The sequence below is a fragment of the Homo sapiens genome, chromosome 2, assembly GCF_000001405.40.
Source record: "Homo sapiens chromosome 2, GRCh38.p14 Primary Assembly".
Taxonomy (NCBI): Eukaryota; Metazoa; Chordata; class Mammalia; order Primates; family Hominidae; genus Homo; species Homo sapiens.
In genome coordinates, this window is record NC_000002.12 from 24,455,824 (window position 1) to 24,474,605 (window position 18,782).

The window sequence follows — 18,782 nt, forward strand, 5'->3', positions numbered from 1 at the left end:
TCTGCCTCCCGGGTTCACGCCATTCTCCTGCCTCAGCCTCCCGAGTAGCTGGGACTACAGGTGCCCACCACCACGCCCGGCTAATTTTTTGTATTTTTAGCAGAGATGAGGTTTCACCATGTTAGCCAGGATGGTCTCAATCTCCTGACCTTGTGATCCGCCCGACTCGGACTCCCAAAATGCTGGGATTACAGGCTTGAGCTACTGCGCCCGGCCGACAAAACACTCTTGACAATAAATTAATGGGGGAGAGCTCTGCTGGAGATTGAAGCAGAACAGGACCATGAGAAGAAAGGACAGTTTAATGCCAAAATTCTACCAAATACAAAATTCTTTTTTGAAATGGAATGATTGCATAGCGATAAAAATAGCAATCAGGAACAATTAAATGAACTTGGAGCCCTTCATGTACTTGAAGAAACACCTGTAATTTACTATATGGGAACAGCCAAAAGGATAATTATTTAAGCAGCTAAATTAAGGCTTGTTTCTTAACTTTTGATAAATGTGATCTCTTACAAATTCTCAAAGTAGAGAAGGATATTTTATTATACAGCTGTCTAAAATATTGGTTAAAGAGAACTCTTTTGTTTTAACTTATAGTTAACTTTTTTAAAAAATTATGGTTAACTTTTAACTTTCAACTACCAATAGTTCATATTTATAGTTGACTTTTGTAAGTTTTTAAACTGAAAAATAAACTTTTAACTATCAATATGACCAATGTAAATGTGAACTATATGCTTGGATGCAAAGCAGTTCATTAATTCTAATGGTATTGCACATTAATCTTGGCTTCAACACAGTCCAAAACTTGCCTAAGCCCTGTTGGTTGCTGGGGAGTTTTTGATTCTTGTGTATGTGTCTAATTTACTAATGAACCTTGGTGTCATTTAGGGCTGAACCAAGAGCATCTGAACGGGTCTGGCCGATCCCAGGCAGCTGGGGAAGGACACCTCGGTGTACTGAGCAGAGCTGGAAGAACACCAGCGCTGGGATGAGTCAGATACTCTCAGAGTGTGTAGTGAGTCAGAATCAGTGCCCCCACTCCCCTAGCTGTAGCAAAAAAACAAAAAATAAAAAGGAAAAGAAAAAAGGAAGGTATTAAAGGACACACCACAAACCCCCTCCCCGTGACCCTTCGTACCCTGAGTGTTGTGGACCCTGCCTATTCCAAGGAGGCACAGACCAGAGGCCATAATGTAAGCGATGGCCAGAGGTGAAACCAGCAAATCCAACCTCAACCCTAACTCTGACATGATGGACAGCAAGAAAGGGGACAGGTGGGCCAGCACCTGTCACTGGGGTGTCATCATCAGTGATGCATCTTGGGGAATCTGCAAGTGATCTTGGGAGCTGGGAATGCACCAGAATATGTGAGCTCTGGTGTCTTAGAGACTTTGGTTTAAATGTAAATCCTTTCTTTGTCATTAAGTGGGTGTTACTGGGACAAGTCTCTTAAACTCTGAGACACACATCCCTAATCTGAAGGTGATAATGTCCTTTCTCACTAGGTGGTTGGTTTGGTGGGGGTGGGGGGTACAGATTGCTAAAGATGATTTCATGCTTTCACTTAGCTCAACTCTGGGCCTGACATGAATGAGGTACTCCATAAATACTTGCTGAATAAATGTCTAAGTGATGCCACCACTAGATCACCCAGCTGAGGCTGTGCTTGACACCTGGTTGACATGTTTTCCAGGACACGGTCTCTTAAGACCCTGTTGCCTATCCCCTGGAGATCAGGAGCAGAGTCTGTTTCCTCATCTGGGAATATTCTGTGTCCTATAGAGAAAGCTTATGCAGAAAAGTTACACATGGAAACATCTCAAGTATTCAAAAGCACTGTTCAATAATCTACAGACATGCACAGTGTTCATGAAAATGACTCTCCTAGCCAATACGCCACTGGTGAATATTAGTATCTTGGTGATGAGGAACCAGAGGCTTTTGAGGCTTATTTCAGTATTTGTGCTCATTTTTGGAGAAATACCATCCAACATTCTTTTGACCAAATTTTACTGAAAGCTTCTCCTCTGCAAGGTTTTGTTTTAGGTCCACCCAACAGAAAGAATTACAAGATAAGGCTCAGAAGCCCTATCTAAAGCCTGCAATCTAAAGCCTGCAATGACCGCACGGATGCCTGTAGTCCAGGGTCAAGCTGTGGAACAAGAAGCCTGAAGACAGAGTTGTGAGACTGTCTCATTAATTTTTGTAATTCTCACTGGGTCTATTGTTCTGTCACACAAAAAATAATGGTCATAATCATGATGATGATGAGGATGATAATGGTAATAATGTAATTGCAAACATCCCGAGTGCTTCCTATATGCCAAACACTGTGCTAAGAGCTCCATGCATTCACATGTTGCTTCATTTAAGTTTTACAACTCTGTCGGGTAGCTTCTCTTTTAAACTTGATTACAGATAAGAGAATTAAGGCAAAACTTTTCTCTGGAAGATGCAGAAGACATCTGTTTGCTTGTTCATCTGAGTTTCAGCATCATATAAAAATTTGGGAAACAAAAATGGAATAAAAAATGTCATGTTTCTAGATGGTGCTAGAAAGTAGATGTTGAGGGAAAAGAAGAAGAAAACTAATATTATTTGAATATTATGATGTGCCAAGCACCTTTACACATATGATTTTGTTTAATCTTAATTTTGCAGATGAAAAAAATAGAAGATTAGAGAGTTAACGTAAGTTGAGCCCCCAAATGCCTGACTCTAAAGTCCGCATTCTTTTCGTTCTATCATGGAATTCTGGCTCTGTCACTTACTACCCATCTGTGACTTTTTTTATTTTTTTATTTTTTGAGACAGAGTCTTGCTCTGTGGCCCAGGCTGGAGTGCAGTGGTGTGATCTCGGCTTACTGCAACCTCCACCTCCTGGGTTCAAGAGATTCTCCTGCTTCAGCCTCCCAAGTAGCTGGGATTACAGGCACGTGCCACCACGCCCAGCTAATTTTTGGATTAGTAGAGACGGGGTCTCACCATGTTGGCCAGGCTGGTCTTGAACTCCTGACCTCAAGTGATCTGCCCCCCTCAGCCTCCCAAAGTGGTGGGATTACAGGTGTGAGCCACCGCGCCCGGCCCCATCTCTGACATTTTTAAAACTTTGGGGCTGTAACAGTAAAATGGAGATTCAAAGCCTGACCACCTACCCCCAAGGATGTTTTAAGAAATCATGTGAAGTAATCGAGGTGTTTGACAAAAATGAAATAGGCATGGATATTGAGAGCAAATAATCCAAATTTGAATGAAGGAGATATGAGCATAACTATGATACAAAATGTTAGGCGTCATTATACTTGTTTGAGCAAAATGCCTGCAGCACAGAAAAGAGTTATTGCTGTTGCCTGGGTGAGCCATGGAAGAGCCCACAGAGAAAGTGACATTTGAGCTAAGCTCAAATGAGGAGGGTTTCATTAGGTTAAAAAAAGAAAAACAAATAGGGAAGTTGAGGAAGGGCATTTTAAGGAGAGGCCACAGTGGAGGCAAAGGAATGGAGGTGTGAGAGCTTGTGATATGTCCAGGGCGCAGTGAGCTGTAGAGAATGCCAGAGGACCATGTGCCCTGGGATTGGCAGACGGCGAGCCTGGCATGACTGGACCAGATTTAGAAGGGCCTTGAATGCCACCCTGAGGCCTTTGCATTTAATTCTGTAGGCAACTGGGAGCCACCAAGGGTGATTACCCAAAGAATCCATAAGGACAAAGAGTCTGAACAGGGCCTTTTGCCATTCTGTTCTTGTGATGATCACAAAGTCCCATGTTCAGAACATCACAGTCTGTTGCCATGGAAATAGTAATGGGCCTCACTATGGGAATAAATTATCCTCATCATTATACCTTTCTTCCAAGGAACTCAAAGTGTTTGTTGTATGTGTTTTCTTTTCTTTCTTTCTTTCTTTTTTTTAAATAGAAGCACCAGATGGTGGTTAAGGGAAAGAAGAAAGCCTAAAGACTGTTGAATTAAAGGAGATTTCAAAGGAATGGAAGGAAAAACACAAGTTGAATTTTGAAAGGTTTAATCAAAACAGATGGCAGAATATCTCAGCCTGAGGGAAGGGGAAAACTGTCTCAGAAGCCATCTGATTTAGGAGCTTCTTCACCCTGGCTTCCTGGGTCCCTGTCTGCTCCCGCCTGCAGGCTGACTGTTCAAACTGGTTAATGAGGAAGGAAAGGTGTGTGTGTGCACACGCATGCATGTGTGTACCAGATAATAGATATGCCAGACACAAGAATTAACATTGTCAAAATGCCCTTTTAATTAGAGTTCTATAAATACTGTTTATTATGCATGGAATCTTTATTTTCAGATTGATTTTTTTTAATAATCAACAAAGTTTTATTATCTTCACAAAATTGTATCTGCTGTTTCCACTCGGGGTAGAAGAAGGAAACTATTGTTTGTGCTTATCTAATTTGCACACACTTTCCTGTATCACTTTTTTATTTTTATTTATTTATTTATTTTGAGACAGGGTCTCACTCTGCTGGAGCGCAGTGGTGCCATCATAGCTGACTGCAGCCTCGAACTCCTGGGCTCAAGCGACCCTCCCACCTCAGCCTTCTGACTAGCTGGAACTACAGGCATGTGCCACCATGCCCAGCTAATTTTTTTTTTTTTTTTTTTTTTTGAGACAGAGTCTCACTCTATTGCCCAGGCTGGAGTGCAGCGGTGCAATCTTGGCTCACTGCAACCTCTACCTCACAGGTTCAAGCAATTCTCGTGCCTCAGCCTCCCGAGTAGCTGGGACTACAGGGCGTGCGCCACCACCCCCAGCTAATTTTGTTTGTATTTTTAGTAGAGACAGGGTTTCGCCATGTTGGCTAGGCTGGTCTCAAACTCCTGACCTCAGGTGATCCATTCGTCTCGGCCTCCCAAGGTGCTGGAATTACAGGTGTGAGCCACAGCTCCTGGCCTTAATTTTTTGTATATTTTGTAGAGACGGGTTTTTGCCATGTTGCCTAGGTTGTTTCTGAACTCCTGGACTCAAGCTATCCACCCACCTCAGCCTCCCAAAATGCTGGGATTACAGGTGTGAGTCACTGTGATTGGCCCAAGTATCATCCCATTTTAATTCATCGCTCAGGATAGAATAATCCTATCATTATTCCTTGTTACAGAGGTAGGCCCACAGAAATTGCAAATATTGCCCACGTTATTTCTAAGTGGCAGATAAGTAGGAGAGCCCTGATCTGAACTGTGGTCAGCTCAGGCTCCTTCCAAAACTCTGAGACTTCTGGACCTGACACTCCAAACTGAGAGAATCTGAGCAAGTTACTCATTCTGCCTGAGCCTCAGTTTCCTCTATAGGATGGGAAAGCAATGCCTTCTCCAGCATTCTTCCTTTAGCGGCATGGGTATGGAATAGAACTTGAGTCTGAAGAATGGTAGACAGTTCTGGTATCCTGTGCACCTCATTTGAGACCTCTGTGCCCCTGTCTTGCCAGGCTGCCCACGTTATTTTGAGTGGGCAACTCAAGTTCTAAGGATTGAAATAGTTTTTTTTTTTAATTATAAAATGCAAAAGGCAGGAAGAAGTTAGGGCATTGGGGTGCCAGAGAGGTTACATTTAAATAACAAGTATTTAATGAGTGTCTACTAAGTGCCTTCACTGTGTTAGTTTGTGGGGATACTAAAATAAGCAAAACGCACAGGGCCCAGCTACCCTAGAGGGCTTAGACAAAGAGCAGGCATGCGAGGATTTCTACGTGGAAGCTGCATTTGAAATGAGGTTTTAGCCATTATCCTCCATGAAAGACAGCTTCCTAAACTGATATCTTATTCCGTCTTCAAGGAAGGAAGGAAAAGCATGTTTTTCTTAACCTGCTCTAACAATCTTAGGCATCCATCCCCACTCCCTGTTCTCCCCAATACAGATCATCCTTATCACATACAATGCTTTTCAGCCTCCTGAATATTCTTGGTTTAGATATGAGCCTCAAATTAGATGGATCAGAGTAAAAATGCTTGAGGATGAATTCTTTATCATTCTACTGTTTATGGACAGCCCTACTGCATAGAAATGCACTGCTGGCTGATAACCCAACTGTCTGGCTGCAGATTGTGGTTTTACTGTGAGTAGGAAGGGGAAGAGAGCAGGGCGAGGTAGCTGCTGCAAAAGAGGAGCAGAGTGAGTACACAGAACCCCAGCCCCCAGGGTTCCCGGCTCATCTGCAGCCTGATCTCAAATCCTTCCAACCTGCCACAGCTCAAAAGGGGAACACTTTTCCATAAAAAGCCATGCCTTTTGGTTTGAATGTTTCTCCAACACACGCTGTCTCTAAAGTGCTTGGTTTTCTCTGCTCACCGACTTTGATTCACCTTACACAGTTCTGCGCACGACTACATTTTACTAAAGCTTAAGTGAATTCGAAAGAGTTTCTTACCCAATGTCGTTGGGTATTGGGGTTGGTGGGAACATAAAAGAACCTTTTCTGAGGAGGAGGACTGAGGTTGGAACCAGTGATGCACATCCCAAACGGCTACAAAATGCCAGGAAGTCTTTAGAGAACTGAGAAAAACCAAAACCAAACAGGGCTTAGAAAACCTGGAAAGGGCCGGACGTGGTGGCCCACGCCTGCAATCCCAGGGCTTTGGGAAGCCAAGGTGGGCAGATGGCTTGAGCTCAGGAGTTCAAGACCAGCCTGCACAACATGGCGAAACCTTGTCTCTACTAAAAATACAAAAATTTAGCTGTGTGTGGTGGTGTGTGCCTGTGGTCCCAGCTCGGGAAGCTGAGGCGGGAGCATCACCTTGAGCCCCGGAGGTTGAGGCTGCTGTGAGCCATGATAGCCATGACAGAGTGCTCCTCCACACTCCAGCTTGAGTGACAGAGCGAGACCTCATCTCTAAAAAAAATTTAAAAAAAGAAAAGAAAAGAAAACCTGGAAAGACAATGATGAGAAGCAGCAGTTGGGAGCAGAGAAGAGAAAGTGATCAGGAGAAATGCAGAAGAGACAGAGACCATTATGAGGGTCTCCTGGATTTTTATGGCCGTCTCAGCTTCATTCTAGAGCAAGAATAGATGGACTTCAGTAGAATTGGCCATGGCCATGGAAAGGATTTTGGATTTTATTTTAGGGTTCATTGGATTGGATGTTGGGAGTCGAGGAGAAGGAGGACTCAAGGACGTCAAGTTGAGCAACCGATGGTGCCATTTATGGAGAGGAAGGCCAGGGTCAAGAGAATCTAAAAAATGTCATTTTGCCATTGTAAATTTGAGTTGTGTTTGGATGCAGGAGTCTGAAACTCAGAGGAGAGGTTCGAATTGGAGAAACGAATTTGGGAGTTGCCGACACATAGATTCTTAACGCCATAGGAATGGAGGTAATCATCCAGGAAGACAGTCCTTCTCATAACCTGCGTTTTAAAAGGGAGAAAATTGAAGCTGGGAGAGGTCCAAAAGCTTGTTAAATAGACCCATTTTGCCACCAGTGAATGATGGAACCAAGATTCAAACCAGGGGCCACAGTGGGTATAGAGTAGCTACTATTATTGCTGTTGTTGTTCTTGTTGTCATGGCTATTATTTCTTGCTGAGGTTAAGAGCTTGGCTCCATTACATTTATGTAAAACCAGCTTAGCTCCCTAAACAGCCCCATAAAATTCCTCTGTGATGATACTCCAGTGCCCTGGGAAATCCTAAGGCTCTGCCTCCCACCTGTCATTCGAAATTGCTTGTCCTGTCCTGGGAGCTCCAGTTCCTGTTCCACTGCCCAGCACCTGGTTATTTCTGCCATGTTTCCCAGATCCTTTGGCCTGACACTTCAGTGGGACTCTCTGTGTGGCATGCACCCAGCTTTGCCCATGGGTGCTATCTTTCCCTTGGCTCCATCAATTACAACCCATGAGCCAGTTGTGCCTCATCTCTGAGGCCACTCCTGGCTCTCAGATCCCTAAAGCAAGTATGGTTCCCTGTGTACTTGCCGGTCCAGGAGGAAAGTTCAGGCAGTATCTTGGCTCTGTCTTTCAATCTATTCTTTCCGTTAAAGGCATCCTGGATATTCTTCTTAGGCCTACCTTATTTTTCCAGACTTGAGCTAATCTAATAAGATATTCATTCCATTGTCTTGCCTCTTCTGAGCCTTTTCTTGCTTTTCTCTTCCATTCTTCCCTTATAGTCTTTAATGCTTTTTAAAAAAACCTACTTTACCTCCTTCTTGTTTTAAGGTGTGCTTGTTTTTTTTTTTGTTTTTGAAGACCTTTCACCACTTCATTCCTAGGTATTGCTTTCTCCCACACCATGCCTGATTTTTCCTAGCTTCAACGTTAAAAAAAAATAGTTTAATCTTCATTGTTACCTTTTTTTTTTTTTTTCTGAGACAGAGTCTCACTCTGTCGCCCAGGCTGCAGTGCAGTGTTACTATCTTGGCTCACTGCAGCCTCCATCTCCACCTCCTAGGTTCAAGCAATTCTCCTGCCTCAGCCTCCCCAGTTGCTGGGACCACAGGCATGCACCACCTTGCCTGGCTAATTTTTGTATTTTTAGTAGAGATGGGGTTTCACCATTTTGGCCAGGCTGGTCTCAAACTCCTGGCCTCACATGATCTGGCCGCCTTGGCCTCCCAAAGTGCTAGGATTACAGGTGTGAGCCACAACACCTGGCTACCACTACCATTTGACATTGGCTAATTCTACCTTGCTCTGGGGTATCTTATCAAAATTCATGAGTATTGTTTGGGAGAGGGCTAGGATTTAATCCTCCACTTTTCCTCCATTGCTAAGAGATCTTCAGGTATAATGCATCTATTGGTTGTTGATGGTCAACATTCATTCGGATTATTCAGTAGCCACGCTGACCAGCTATTTAATATTTTTAAGATTCTCTCCCTTCAAATATCAACATTTCTACAATAGAGGCATACAGAGAATGACAACCTTTTTTTTTTTTTTTTTTTTTTTTGAGATGGAGTCTTGCTCTGTCACCCAGGCTGGAGTGCAGTGGCGCGATCTCGGCTCACTGCAAGCTCCGCCTCCCAGGTTCACGCCATTCTCCTGCCTCAGCCTCCCAAGTAGCTGGGACTACAGGCACCCGCCACCATGCTTGGCAAATTTTTTGTATTTTTAGTAGAGACAGGGTTTCACCATGTTAGCCAGGATGGTCTTGATCTCCTGACCTCATGATCCATCTGCCTTGGCCTCCCAAAGTGCTGGGATTACAGGCGTAAGCCACCGCAACTGGCCGAGAATGACAACCTTTTAACTTGAATAATGAGCCTGAGAATTCACAGAACCTAAATATCAGTTTGTAAGATTCCTGGGGGCCCACTGACCTCTATATTCTTTCTGGAAATAATATGAAGAAATAAGGTCAGCAAAAACTCAAAACAGAAGGTTTATAGGGCTTCCTTGCTGAGAATTGATGCTGCTATTATTCAAAAGGTGAGGTTTCCCTGTGCCTTCATCCAGTAATTCTCAACCAGGGGCACTCTTGACACTTAGGGGAAATATAAGAATTCCCAGGTGCAGGGGAGGGCATAGTTTGAAAAATATTGATTGAACATGTTTTTTCAAAGTATTTCATATATATTATATAGATATATATTTTTGTTTTTTTAAACTCCATCTTAACAAATATATATATGTGTATATATATATGTATTTTTTTTTAAGACAGAGTCTTGCTCTGTCGCCCAGGCTGGAGTGTAGTGGTATGATCTCAGCTCACTGCAACCTCTGCCTCCCCGGTTCAAGCAATTCTCCTGCCTCAGCCTCCTGAGTAGCTGGGATTACAGGCGTCCACCACCACATCCAGCTAACTTTTGTATTTTCAATAGAGATGGAATTTCACCATATTGGCCAGGCTGGTCTCGAACTCCTGACCTTAAGTGATCCACCTGCCTCAGCCTCCACTGCGTTCAGACTAGAATATATTTTTTAATATTTGAAAAATAAATGAGACATTTTGTTTTCATCATGTGAATTAAAGAAAGTAAAACAGCCTGGGCAATAAAGTGAGACTCTGTCTCTGCAAAAAATTAGAAACAAAAAAACTAGTCAGGGCAGGGTGCAGTGGCTCAAGCCTGTGATCCTAGCACTTTGGGAGGCCAAGATAGGTGGATCACTTAAGGTCAGGAGTTCGAGACCAGCCTGGCCAACATGGTGAAACCCCATCTCTACTAAAAATACAAAAATTAGCTGGGCACGGTGGCATGCACCTGTAATCCCCCCTACGCAGGAGGCTGAGGCAGAAGAATCGCTTGAACCCAGGAAGCCAAGGTTGCAGTGAGCTGAGATTGTGCCACTGCACTCCAGCCTGGATGACAGAGTGAGACTCCCTCTCAAAAAAAAAAAAAAGTTAGTCGGGTATGCTGTTGTGTACCTACAATTTCAGCTACTAGGGAGGCTGAGATGAGAGGATTACCTGAGCCTGGGAGGTCGAGGCTGCAATGACTATGAGCAAGCCACTGCACTCCAGCCTGAGTGACAGAGCAAGACTCTGTCTCAAAAAAGAAAAAAGTAAAACTGGACATATGCAGAAAATAAAATAATCTCAATAGAGAGGCCAGGGAGAGGGAAATGTTTTTCTAACTTTTTTGTTGTGAACCACAGTAAGAAATACATTTTACATCTTCACTCAGTACACATTGTGTGTGTGTGTGTGTGTGTGTGTGTGTGTGTGTGTGTAATTAAAACAACCAAAACATCTTTTTTAAAATAACAGTACATACTATTCTTTTTAAAAAATGCTGGTCATGACCATCCAAATTGATTTCATGACCTACAGTTTGAAAAACATTGCCCTGAGGTGATAGGTGATAGTGTCAGAATCTTGGGAGAGGGTAAGATTTTTAAGTTTATCAAAAAAGAAGCATTTTTCAAACAGTTGACCATGTCCTTAAGAGTGCAGACTTACTTTTCTTTTTATTTTCTTTAGGGCCTCTGCTATATTTCTTTCTTTTATTCCTGCTTACATGGACAATTGAGTGAGATTGCAAAACCAGGTTACTACAGCATGTGGAAATCTTAGATGATATACTACATGAAGTTGGTAAGTCGCAGGTACATGGTTCCATTGTTTTAACTTAAATTAATCTAACAACCTATTAAAAGCTTGTTTAATAAATAGTTTATCATGTGGTTTTTAGTTCTATCAGGTCAATTTTACCCCCCATTCTAAATGCAGGTCCAGTTCTTAGCTCACCTGGCTCACAGGGAAGCAAAGTCCTATTTTCCCTACATACTTGAGACTTCATCCTCCCATACAGGATCGGTCACATTCCACTCAGTCTCTTGAAATCCCAAGCAGTGATATTCTCTCGTCACCTCCACCCACCCGTGCATCAACATACCTTGCAACTGGCTTCTCTTGCTGGCCTTCTACTTAAACTGCTTTTAAAGTAAAGCCCTTTCTAAGAGTGACTTTCTAATCTTTTCTCCTAGATCCTGATCTCACAGCTCCTATATTCTGCTTCTTCCTACAGATCCATTTCCTGTCTATTGGCAGCTTCGTCTGCATTATCATTGTTTCTTGTCTCTTGAACTTTGGTTGGCAACTTGCAATCCTTTTGACTTCAGCCACCACTGCTTTGTTTTTTCCTCAGTCCTAAGTCCTGAGAGAGGGAAAGCAACTTGCTTAGCTCACATTTCGCACCAGATGGCCCCAGGCCGGGGGCCCCCTCTTTCTTCAGTCATTCATTTTTTGGTTACTTTTGGAGGGAGATGTGGTGTGGCATCTCCAGGGAACTTACTCAAGAAGAGGTAGTTGGGAGAGAAGGTAGAAAATGGGTTATCTCTAGCTGAACTTCAGGTTCAACGTCATCTTTATTTTGATCTACAGAGTCCTAGTAGATGACAATACAGGTCTATACACAAGTGATAAATTGTGCAATCAACCAATTCATCCATTTCACAAATGGGAGTGATTGTTTGCTTTATGAAGTGAACTCTTACTTTATATGAGGAACCATCATGGGATTCCTTCAAACAGCAAATTCTCTTTTCATATATACAAAATGATTTATTTTACAAAGGGTGATTACCTGTGGCTTTCTCTCAGGAAAAGGAAGTGAGGTGTCTTCCATCACAATCATATGCCTTACAGTTTTGATACAATACTCAGTCCAGTTCATTGATTTCCATTCTTAAGTACATAAAAATCTTTTTTCTCCCTGGTTTATTTATAGTTGCATCCCATGGACAAATATCCTTTACTCAACATCTCCTTTTACTTTCTTACATTTATCTTGGCTTTCTTTTCCTTTTTACTGTTTACTCCTACACCATTTCCCCTTCCCATTTTAGTCAAATTTGCTTTTGCTCTTTTTGTGCACTTCATAGGTGGACATCCAAGGACATTGATGAATGAAGCTCCAGTCAAGGGTCTGTAGTGTTAAGGCAGCCACATCCAGGCTCTCATAGCACAGAAATACCAGTAACGCTATTGCTCAGGTGTGCTGCGTATGCTTATTCTACTATGCAAGTGATTATATGCCTCAGTTCCACAGTTGACCTTATATCCCAAATCAGCTCAATAAATTAGAATACTTGGCCCCTTTTTTTTAACTTTTATTTTAGGTTCAGGGGACATGTGCAGGTTTGTTATATAGGTAAACTTGTGTTATGGGGGTTTGTTAAATAGATTATTTTGTCACCCAGGTACTAAGCCTAGTACACAATAGTTATTTTTTCTGATCCTCTCTCTTCCCACCCTCCACCCTCAAGTAGGCACAAGTGTCTGTTGTTTCCCTCTTTATGTCCATGTGTTCTCATCATTTAGCTCCCACTTCTGAGTAAGAACATCTGCTATTTGGTTTCCTGTTCCTGCATTAGTTTGCTAAGGACAATGGCTTCCAGCTCCATCCATGTTCCCACAAAGGACATGATCTTGTTCTTTTTTATGGCTGCATAGTATTCCATGGGACGTTCATACACTGTTAGTGAGAGTGTAGCTCAACTGTTGTGGAAAGCAGTGTGGCAATTCCTCAAAGAGCTAAAAGCAGAACTACCATTCAACCCAGCAATCCCATTACTGGGTATATACCCAAAGGAATACAAATTATTCTACCATAAAGACACATGCATGTGTATGTTCATTACAGCACTATTCACAATAGCAAAGACATGGAATCAACCTAAATGCCCATCAATGACAGATTAGACTTGGCCTCTTATGGAAACATATTTTGTTGTTGTTGTTGTTGTTGTATATAATGGCCCTGACTCATTAACTCCTTAAGTCATTCCCCACGTTAGCTAGTTTTCTGTTATCTTCACTTTGATGTTAAGCCAACATCTTAGCATATTTAAAATTGAATTTCTCATACTCTTAGTCACATTATATTCCCTTTCCAGCTTCCTTACTGATGATGATGATGATGAACATTACTGCCTTTCACTTGTCCAGCACATTGCAGCTTTCCTGCACATCATCTTATTTGTGCCTTACAAAACCACTATGTGGTGAGCAGAGACACTTTACAAATGAGAAGAGTGGGCTAAGAGGGGTTAAGTCACTTGTTCAAAGTGGTAGGGACAGGTCTTCTCACTCTCGGTCCTATGCCTTAAGCTCAGAGGCACTACCCTGCTTCTCAAGCTAATAACCTCATCATTCTTTCTGTTCCTTTTTCTCTTGCACGTCCCATGTCTAACTCATCAAAAACTTATCCTAATTTTTTCTTCTACAATGTCTCATACTTGCCATTATCAAAGCAGTTAAACAACTGCCTTCTTGGTTCAGGCCCTCATCTGCTCATTTGTGAGTCACTGCAAGCATCTCCTGTTTTCCACATTTCTGTTCTTTTCTGCTCTAATTCATCCAAAAGGCATTGGTTAGAATATTGTTTATTTTGCATATTTTCTCTCTTTCATATCTTCTTCCCTTTTTTTGGAATGAAGGGTCCACATAGCAGTTGTTGGGACAGCTAGTAATTACCTTAGTAATTCCCATGCCCCACTTGAATAGCAAATATCTGTGGATAATTGGAAAAATAATGTGTGAAGATGCTGCTCTCATGGTATCACTCCCTTGTGGCCCATATCAGTTTTCTATTTCCTGTTCTGGAAAATGCAATCCCTGCAGGCCCTATATCCAAGACTGTCTATTAACTGAATTTGCAGACCCTGCCCTAAGTACCAAGGTGATGTAGTATTTATGCCATCTGTCTCAAATTCAAGGGTGCTTGTAGCCAGGGGACTACCTTCAGGGGAATAAGTGATGTATAGCTATAAATTTTGGTGATGCCAGAAGTAGCCCAAATAATATGAAAAGAAGCAACATGTACTGTGTACCTTTTTGATGCCACCAACAACTCTGGTATTTTACCTACTTTATCTAATTGAATGCCAACATCAACCCTGCAAAGCAGAAAAGCACAGGGGTGGGGTGCAGGGAATCCCAGCTAGGCCGACAAACCTAGGTTCAGCCCAGAGTTCTGACAGATCTATAAATGTCTGGAAGTCTGTTGGGAGGGAATCTATTTGCTTCAAGAATCAAGGAAGTCCAGAGAAAGAGCTCATTCTAAGGACAATGGGGCAAATTTGGGTGAAAGTGGGAGGGATGTCATGAATATTGTAAGCTGCTTGTCGCTAACATTATATGCTGTCTCTGCTCTGGGGATTTCTGCCTTAGTCTAGTGAGATTGAATAAAAGAATAGAAGCAAACAAACAAAGCCACTGCAATTGAAAGCTATTAAGGCAAGATAGTATGACCTGGAGCACCCTTGCTGGGCAGCGTACGTGGCAGAGCCATGGGGCTCTGGAAGGAACCGAGAGCACGTAGTGATCTGGGAGCATGAAGGCATTGGGAACCTGTAGCCTCAGCCCAAGCCTTGACCATCTGGCCACTCCAGGGTGCCAGAGGCAGAAAACAGGGAAATGGAGACGCTATTGGCTGCTTGGACAAATATAGTGCTTTAAGAATACATTTTAAAAAAGAAGAAGAGGCCAGGTGTGGTGGCTCATGCCTGTAATCCCAGCACTTTGGGAGGCCGAGGCGGGTGGATCATGAGGTCAGGAGATCGAGAACCATCCTGGCTAACACGGTGAAACCCCATCTCTACTAAAAATACAAAAAAAATTAGCCGGGTGTGGTGGCGGGCGCCTGTAGTCCCAGCTACTCAGGAGGCTGAGGCAGGAGAATGGCATGAACCCAGGAGGCGGAGCTTGCAGTGAGCCGAGATCGCGCCACTGCACTCCAGCCTGGGCGACAGAGCGAGACTCCTTCTCAAAATAATGATAATAATAATAATAAAATTTAAAAATATATATATATGAGAGAACCACTCTCTCCATGTTACATCCCCTTCCTCACTCTCAGAGTAATTTGGGAGGAAATCAGAGACCTATTTCAGAAATATTAGTGAGGAAGCAGGACCAGGGAAATGATAACTATTAAAAAAATTTTTTTTTTAAATAATAGAGACAGGTTCTTGTTATGTTGCCCAGCCTGGTCTTGAACTTCTGGACTCAAGCAATCCTCCTGCCTCAGCCTCCCAAGTAGCTGGGACTACAGATGCAGGCCACCACGCCCAGTTAATTTTTAAATTTTCTGTGGTGATGGGGGTCTCATTATGATGCCCAGGCTGGTCTTGAACTCCTGGGCTCAAGCAATCCTTCTGCCTCAGTCTGCAAAATTCTGAGATTACAGGCATGAACCACTGAGCCCAGCCACTATTATTATTTTTGTCGGCATAATTTCAGCTACTACCTATTCTCACATCTGGCTAGTATGGCCTGGGAAGCAGATCACAAGTATATTTTCATCTCCGTTATACATGACAAATTGAGCCTTGAGAAATTTAAGTAACTTGTCTAAATTAATACAATTACGAAGTGGCAGAGCTCGGGTTAGGATTCTGGTCTTTTTTATTTCAATGCCCATGTTCTTCCCACTACATTATTTATTCAACAAACATTTATCGAATGCCCACTATGAGTCACTCACAAGAGGCAATAAGGAACAAAAAAGCCCCTGCCCACATGAACCTTACATCCAGTGGCAGAGACAGCTGTTCACCAAAATTTGTAGGCTCCTCTTCTTCCTGCACTCATAGCTAGACTACATTTCCCAGCTTCCCTTGCAGTTAGGTCTCTCGCCAGTCGAACATGAGTGGAAATGAGTGGCACTTCTATGCCTGGCCCGTAAGAACCTCCCTCCCATGTTTCTGTATACTGAAAGGACTAGTGCAACCTTGGAAGTCAACTGTGAAAATGGCAGAGCTGCCTCCACTGATGAGGAACACGTGACTTGGCCTGTTATATCATTAATAACTCAATTTATATTGTGGTTGAGACATAAATTTAGGAGAGTTTTTTTTTTTTTTTTGAGACGGAGTTTCGCTCTTGTTGCCCAGGCTGGAGTGCGATGGTGTGATCTTGGCGCACTGCAACCTCTGCCTCCCAGGTTCAAGGGATTCTCCCGCCTCAGCCTCCCTAGTAGCTGGGTTTACAGGCACGCTCCACCACGCCCAGCTAATTTTGTATTTTTAGTAGTGACGGGGTTTCTCCATGTTGGTCAGGCTGGTCTCAAACTCCAGACCTCAGGTGATCTGCCCGCCTCAGCCTCCCAAATTGCTGGGATTACAGGCATGAGCCACTGCGCCTGGCCAGGAGTTTATTTTTTATAGCATTAGGTACATCTTAATGAAAACATACTCCTAAAATAGATCAGTATACCAAAAAGACACATGTGCTTGTATGTACATTGCCACATTTCATACATAGTAAAGGCATGGGATCAACCTAGGGGCCCATCAATGGTGGGTTGGATAAAAAAAATATATATGGTAGAGATACATGATGGAATACTATGCAGCCATAAAAAAGAATGAGATCATGTCCTTTGCAGCAGCATAGATGGAGCTGGTGGCCATAATCTAAGCAAATTAATGCAAGAACAGAAAACCAAATACTGCATGTTCTCACTTACAAGTGGGAGCTAAACATTGAGCTCCCACAGACATAAACATGGGAGCAATAGACACTGCAGGCTACTAAAGGGGGAGGGGAGGCGGTGGGGCATGGATTGAAAAACTACCCATTGGGTACTATGCTCCTATCTGGGTTCCATATACCCACGTAACAAACCTGTACATGTACCCCCTCGTATCTAAAATAAAAGCTGAAATAAAAAAAATACTCCTACATGAATACCTGCCTAGAGTGATTTTCATTTTACCAGAAGAATTATAGATAAAGTTTCTTCCTTTTTAAACTAAACTACTCCCTTGAAAATCTAGTGGTGTTGGATGTCAAACAATCATCTGCTGACCCAAAGGGGCTCCTGCCAGCTGCATGGGCACCATGAAGGACTCATGTGAGAAGGCCCGCCTTGATCCAGCATGGCGTATGTGACTGAGGGGGTAATTCCATCTATGTCTGGTTTTGTCTTAACCATCCCACTTTGCAAAAACACTTGATGCCACACTCTGCAACTTGGCCTCTAATCGATTATAATAAAGGTGACATTTAACCTCTCTCTGCCACTCTTTTGCATTATTTTTCCATTTGTTCAGAACTCAGGTTGGGAAGATGGTTGTTACTTATTGGGCCCCCACAGAGACCTCAAAAAGTTATCATAATTTTTGGATAAATCAGTAGTCAAGGATTGTATTATAATTGTGTAAATAATTGTCACTGTTGAACCAAGTAGTATATTGTGATTATGTCTTGTTTCTAGTTTGATTTTTTTCTTGAAGTTAATGAATGCCATGTTTTTTGTTCTTAATTTATTTTTAGTTTTGTATGGACCTATACTATTTTTCCAACTACTATAATTGCTCTGTCTAAAATTTTTCAAGCAGTACACTAAGAGCACTAAGCCTAAAGGAAAAGCCAGGCAGGGTGTGGTGGCTCACACCTGTAATCACAGAACATTGGGAGGCTTAGGTGGGAGGATTGTTTGAGCCCAGCCTGGGCAACATAGTGAGTAGTGAGATCCCCATCTCTACAAAAAAATTCTAAAATTAGCTGGATGTGGTGGTGCATGACTATAGTCCCAGCTACTTGGAAGGCTGAAGCAGGAGGATAGCTTGAGCCAAGATGTTCAAGGCTGCAGGGAGCTATGATTATGTCACTGTATTATGTCACTGTACTCCAGCCTGGGCAACAGAGAAAGGCCATGCCAAAAAAAAAAAAAAAAAAGAAGAAGAAGAAAAGAAAAGCCAACAAAACTAAAAAACATTAATTTTAAGAACTTAAGATCATCAAATGATAAGATTAAGAGAGTAAAAAGGAAAACCACATAATGAGAGAAGACATATGTAATATATATATCCCAAGAAGGATTTTTGTCCAGAATATATAAAGAACCCCTACAGATCAATAAGAAAAAGAGACAATACAATCAGAAGGTGGGCAAAAGATTTTGACGGGCACCTCAAAAAAGAGCATTTCAAATGGCCCTTAAACATATGAAAAGATACTCCACTTCATGAGTCATCTGAGGAATCTAAATTAACATCACAATAAGATATTGCACACCTACCAGACTGGTTAAAATAAAGAATTGTCAAGGATGTGGAACAACTGGAATTTGTACGCACTGCTATTAAAAACATAAATCTGGGCCGGGCTCGGTGGCTCATGCCTGGTAATCCCAGCACTTTAGGAGGCTGAGGTGGGCAGATCACAAGGTCATGAGTTCAAGACCAGCCTGGCCAATATGGTGAAACCCCGTCTCTACTAAAAATACAAAAATTAGCTGGGCGTGGTGGCAGATGCTTGTAGTCTCAGCTACTCAGGAGGCTGAGGCAGGAGAATCGCTTGAACCCAGGAGGCCGAGATCGTGCCACTGCACTCCAGCACTTTGGGAGGCTGAGGCGGGTGGATCA

The 18,782-nt window shown here is 42.6% G+C and overlaps 1 long non-coding RNA gene across 1 annotated transcript in view, besides 2 other annotated features; it reads left to right on the forward strand.

Moving 5' to 3' along the window:
* Positions 1 to 7,331, forward strand: part of LOC105374329 (uncharacterized) — a 59,127-nt gene extending 51,796 nt beyond the window's left edge. Inside the window, exon 3 of the long non-coding RNA XR_001739340.3 lies at positions 7,251 to 7,331. This is a non-coding gene — a long non-coding RNA (uncharacterized LOC105374329). The remainder of the gene's footprint in view (positions 1 to 7,250) is intronic.
* Positions 1,136 to 1,733: an enhancer, noted in NCBI's record as "NANOG hESC enhancer chr2:24679828-24680425 (GRCh37/hg19 assembly coordinates)". NCBI's record gives its function as "activates a minimal SCP1, AML or CMV promoter by ChIP-STARR-seq in naive H9 embryonic stem cells {active_cell/tissue: H9 hESC(naive)}" and the evidence as "EXISTENCE:reporter gene assay evidence [ECO:0000049][PMID:30033119]".
* Positions 1,935 to 2,292: a transcriptional cis regulatory region, noted in NCBI's record as "candidate enhancer chr2.904 targeted for multiplex CRISPR interference". NCBI's record gives its function as "positively regulates NCOA1 gene expression in K562 cells {active_cell/tissue: K562}" and the evidence as "EXISTENCE:mutant phenotype evidence [ECO:0000015][PMID:30612741]".
* Positions 7,332 to 18,782: the final 11,451 nt, after the last annotated feature.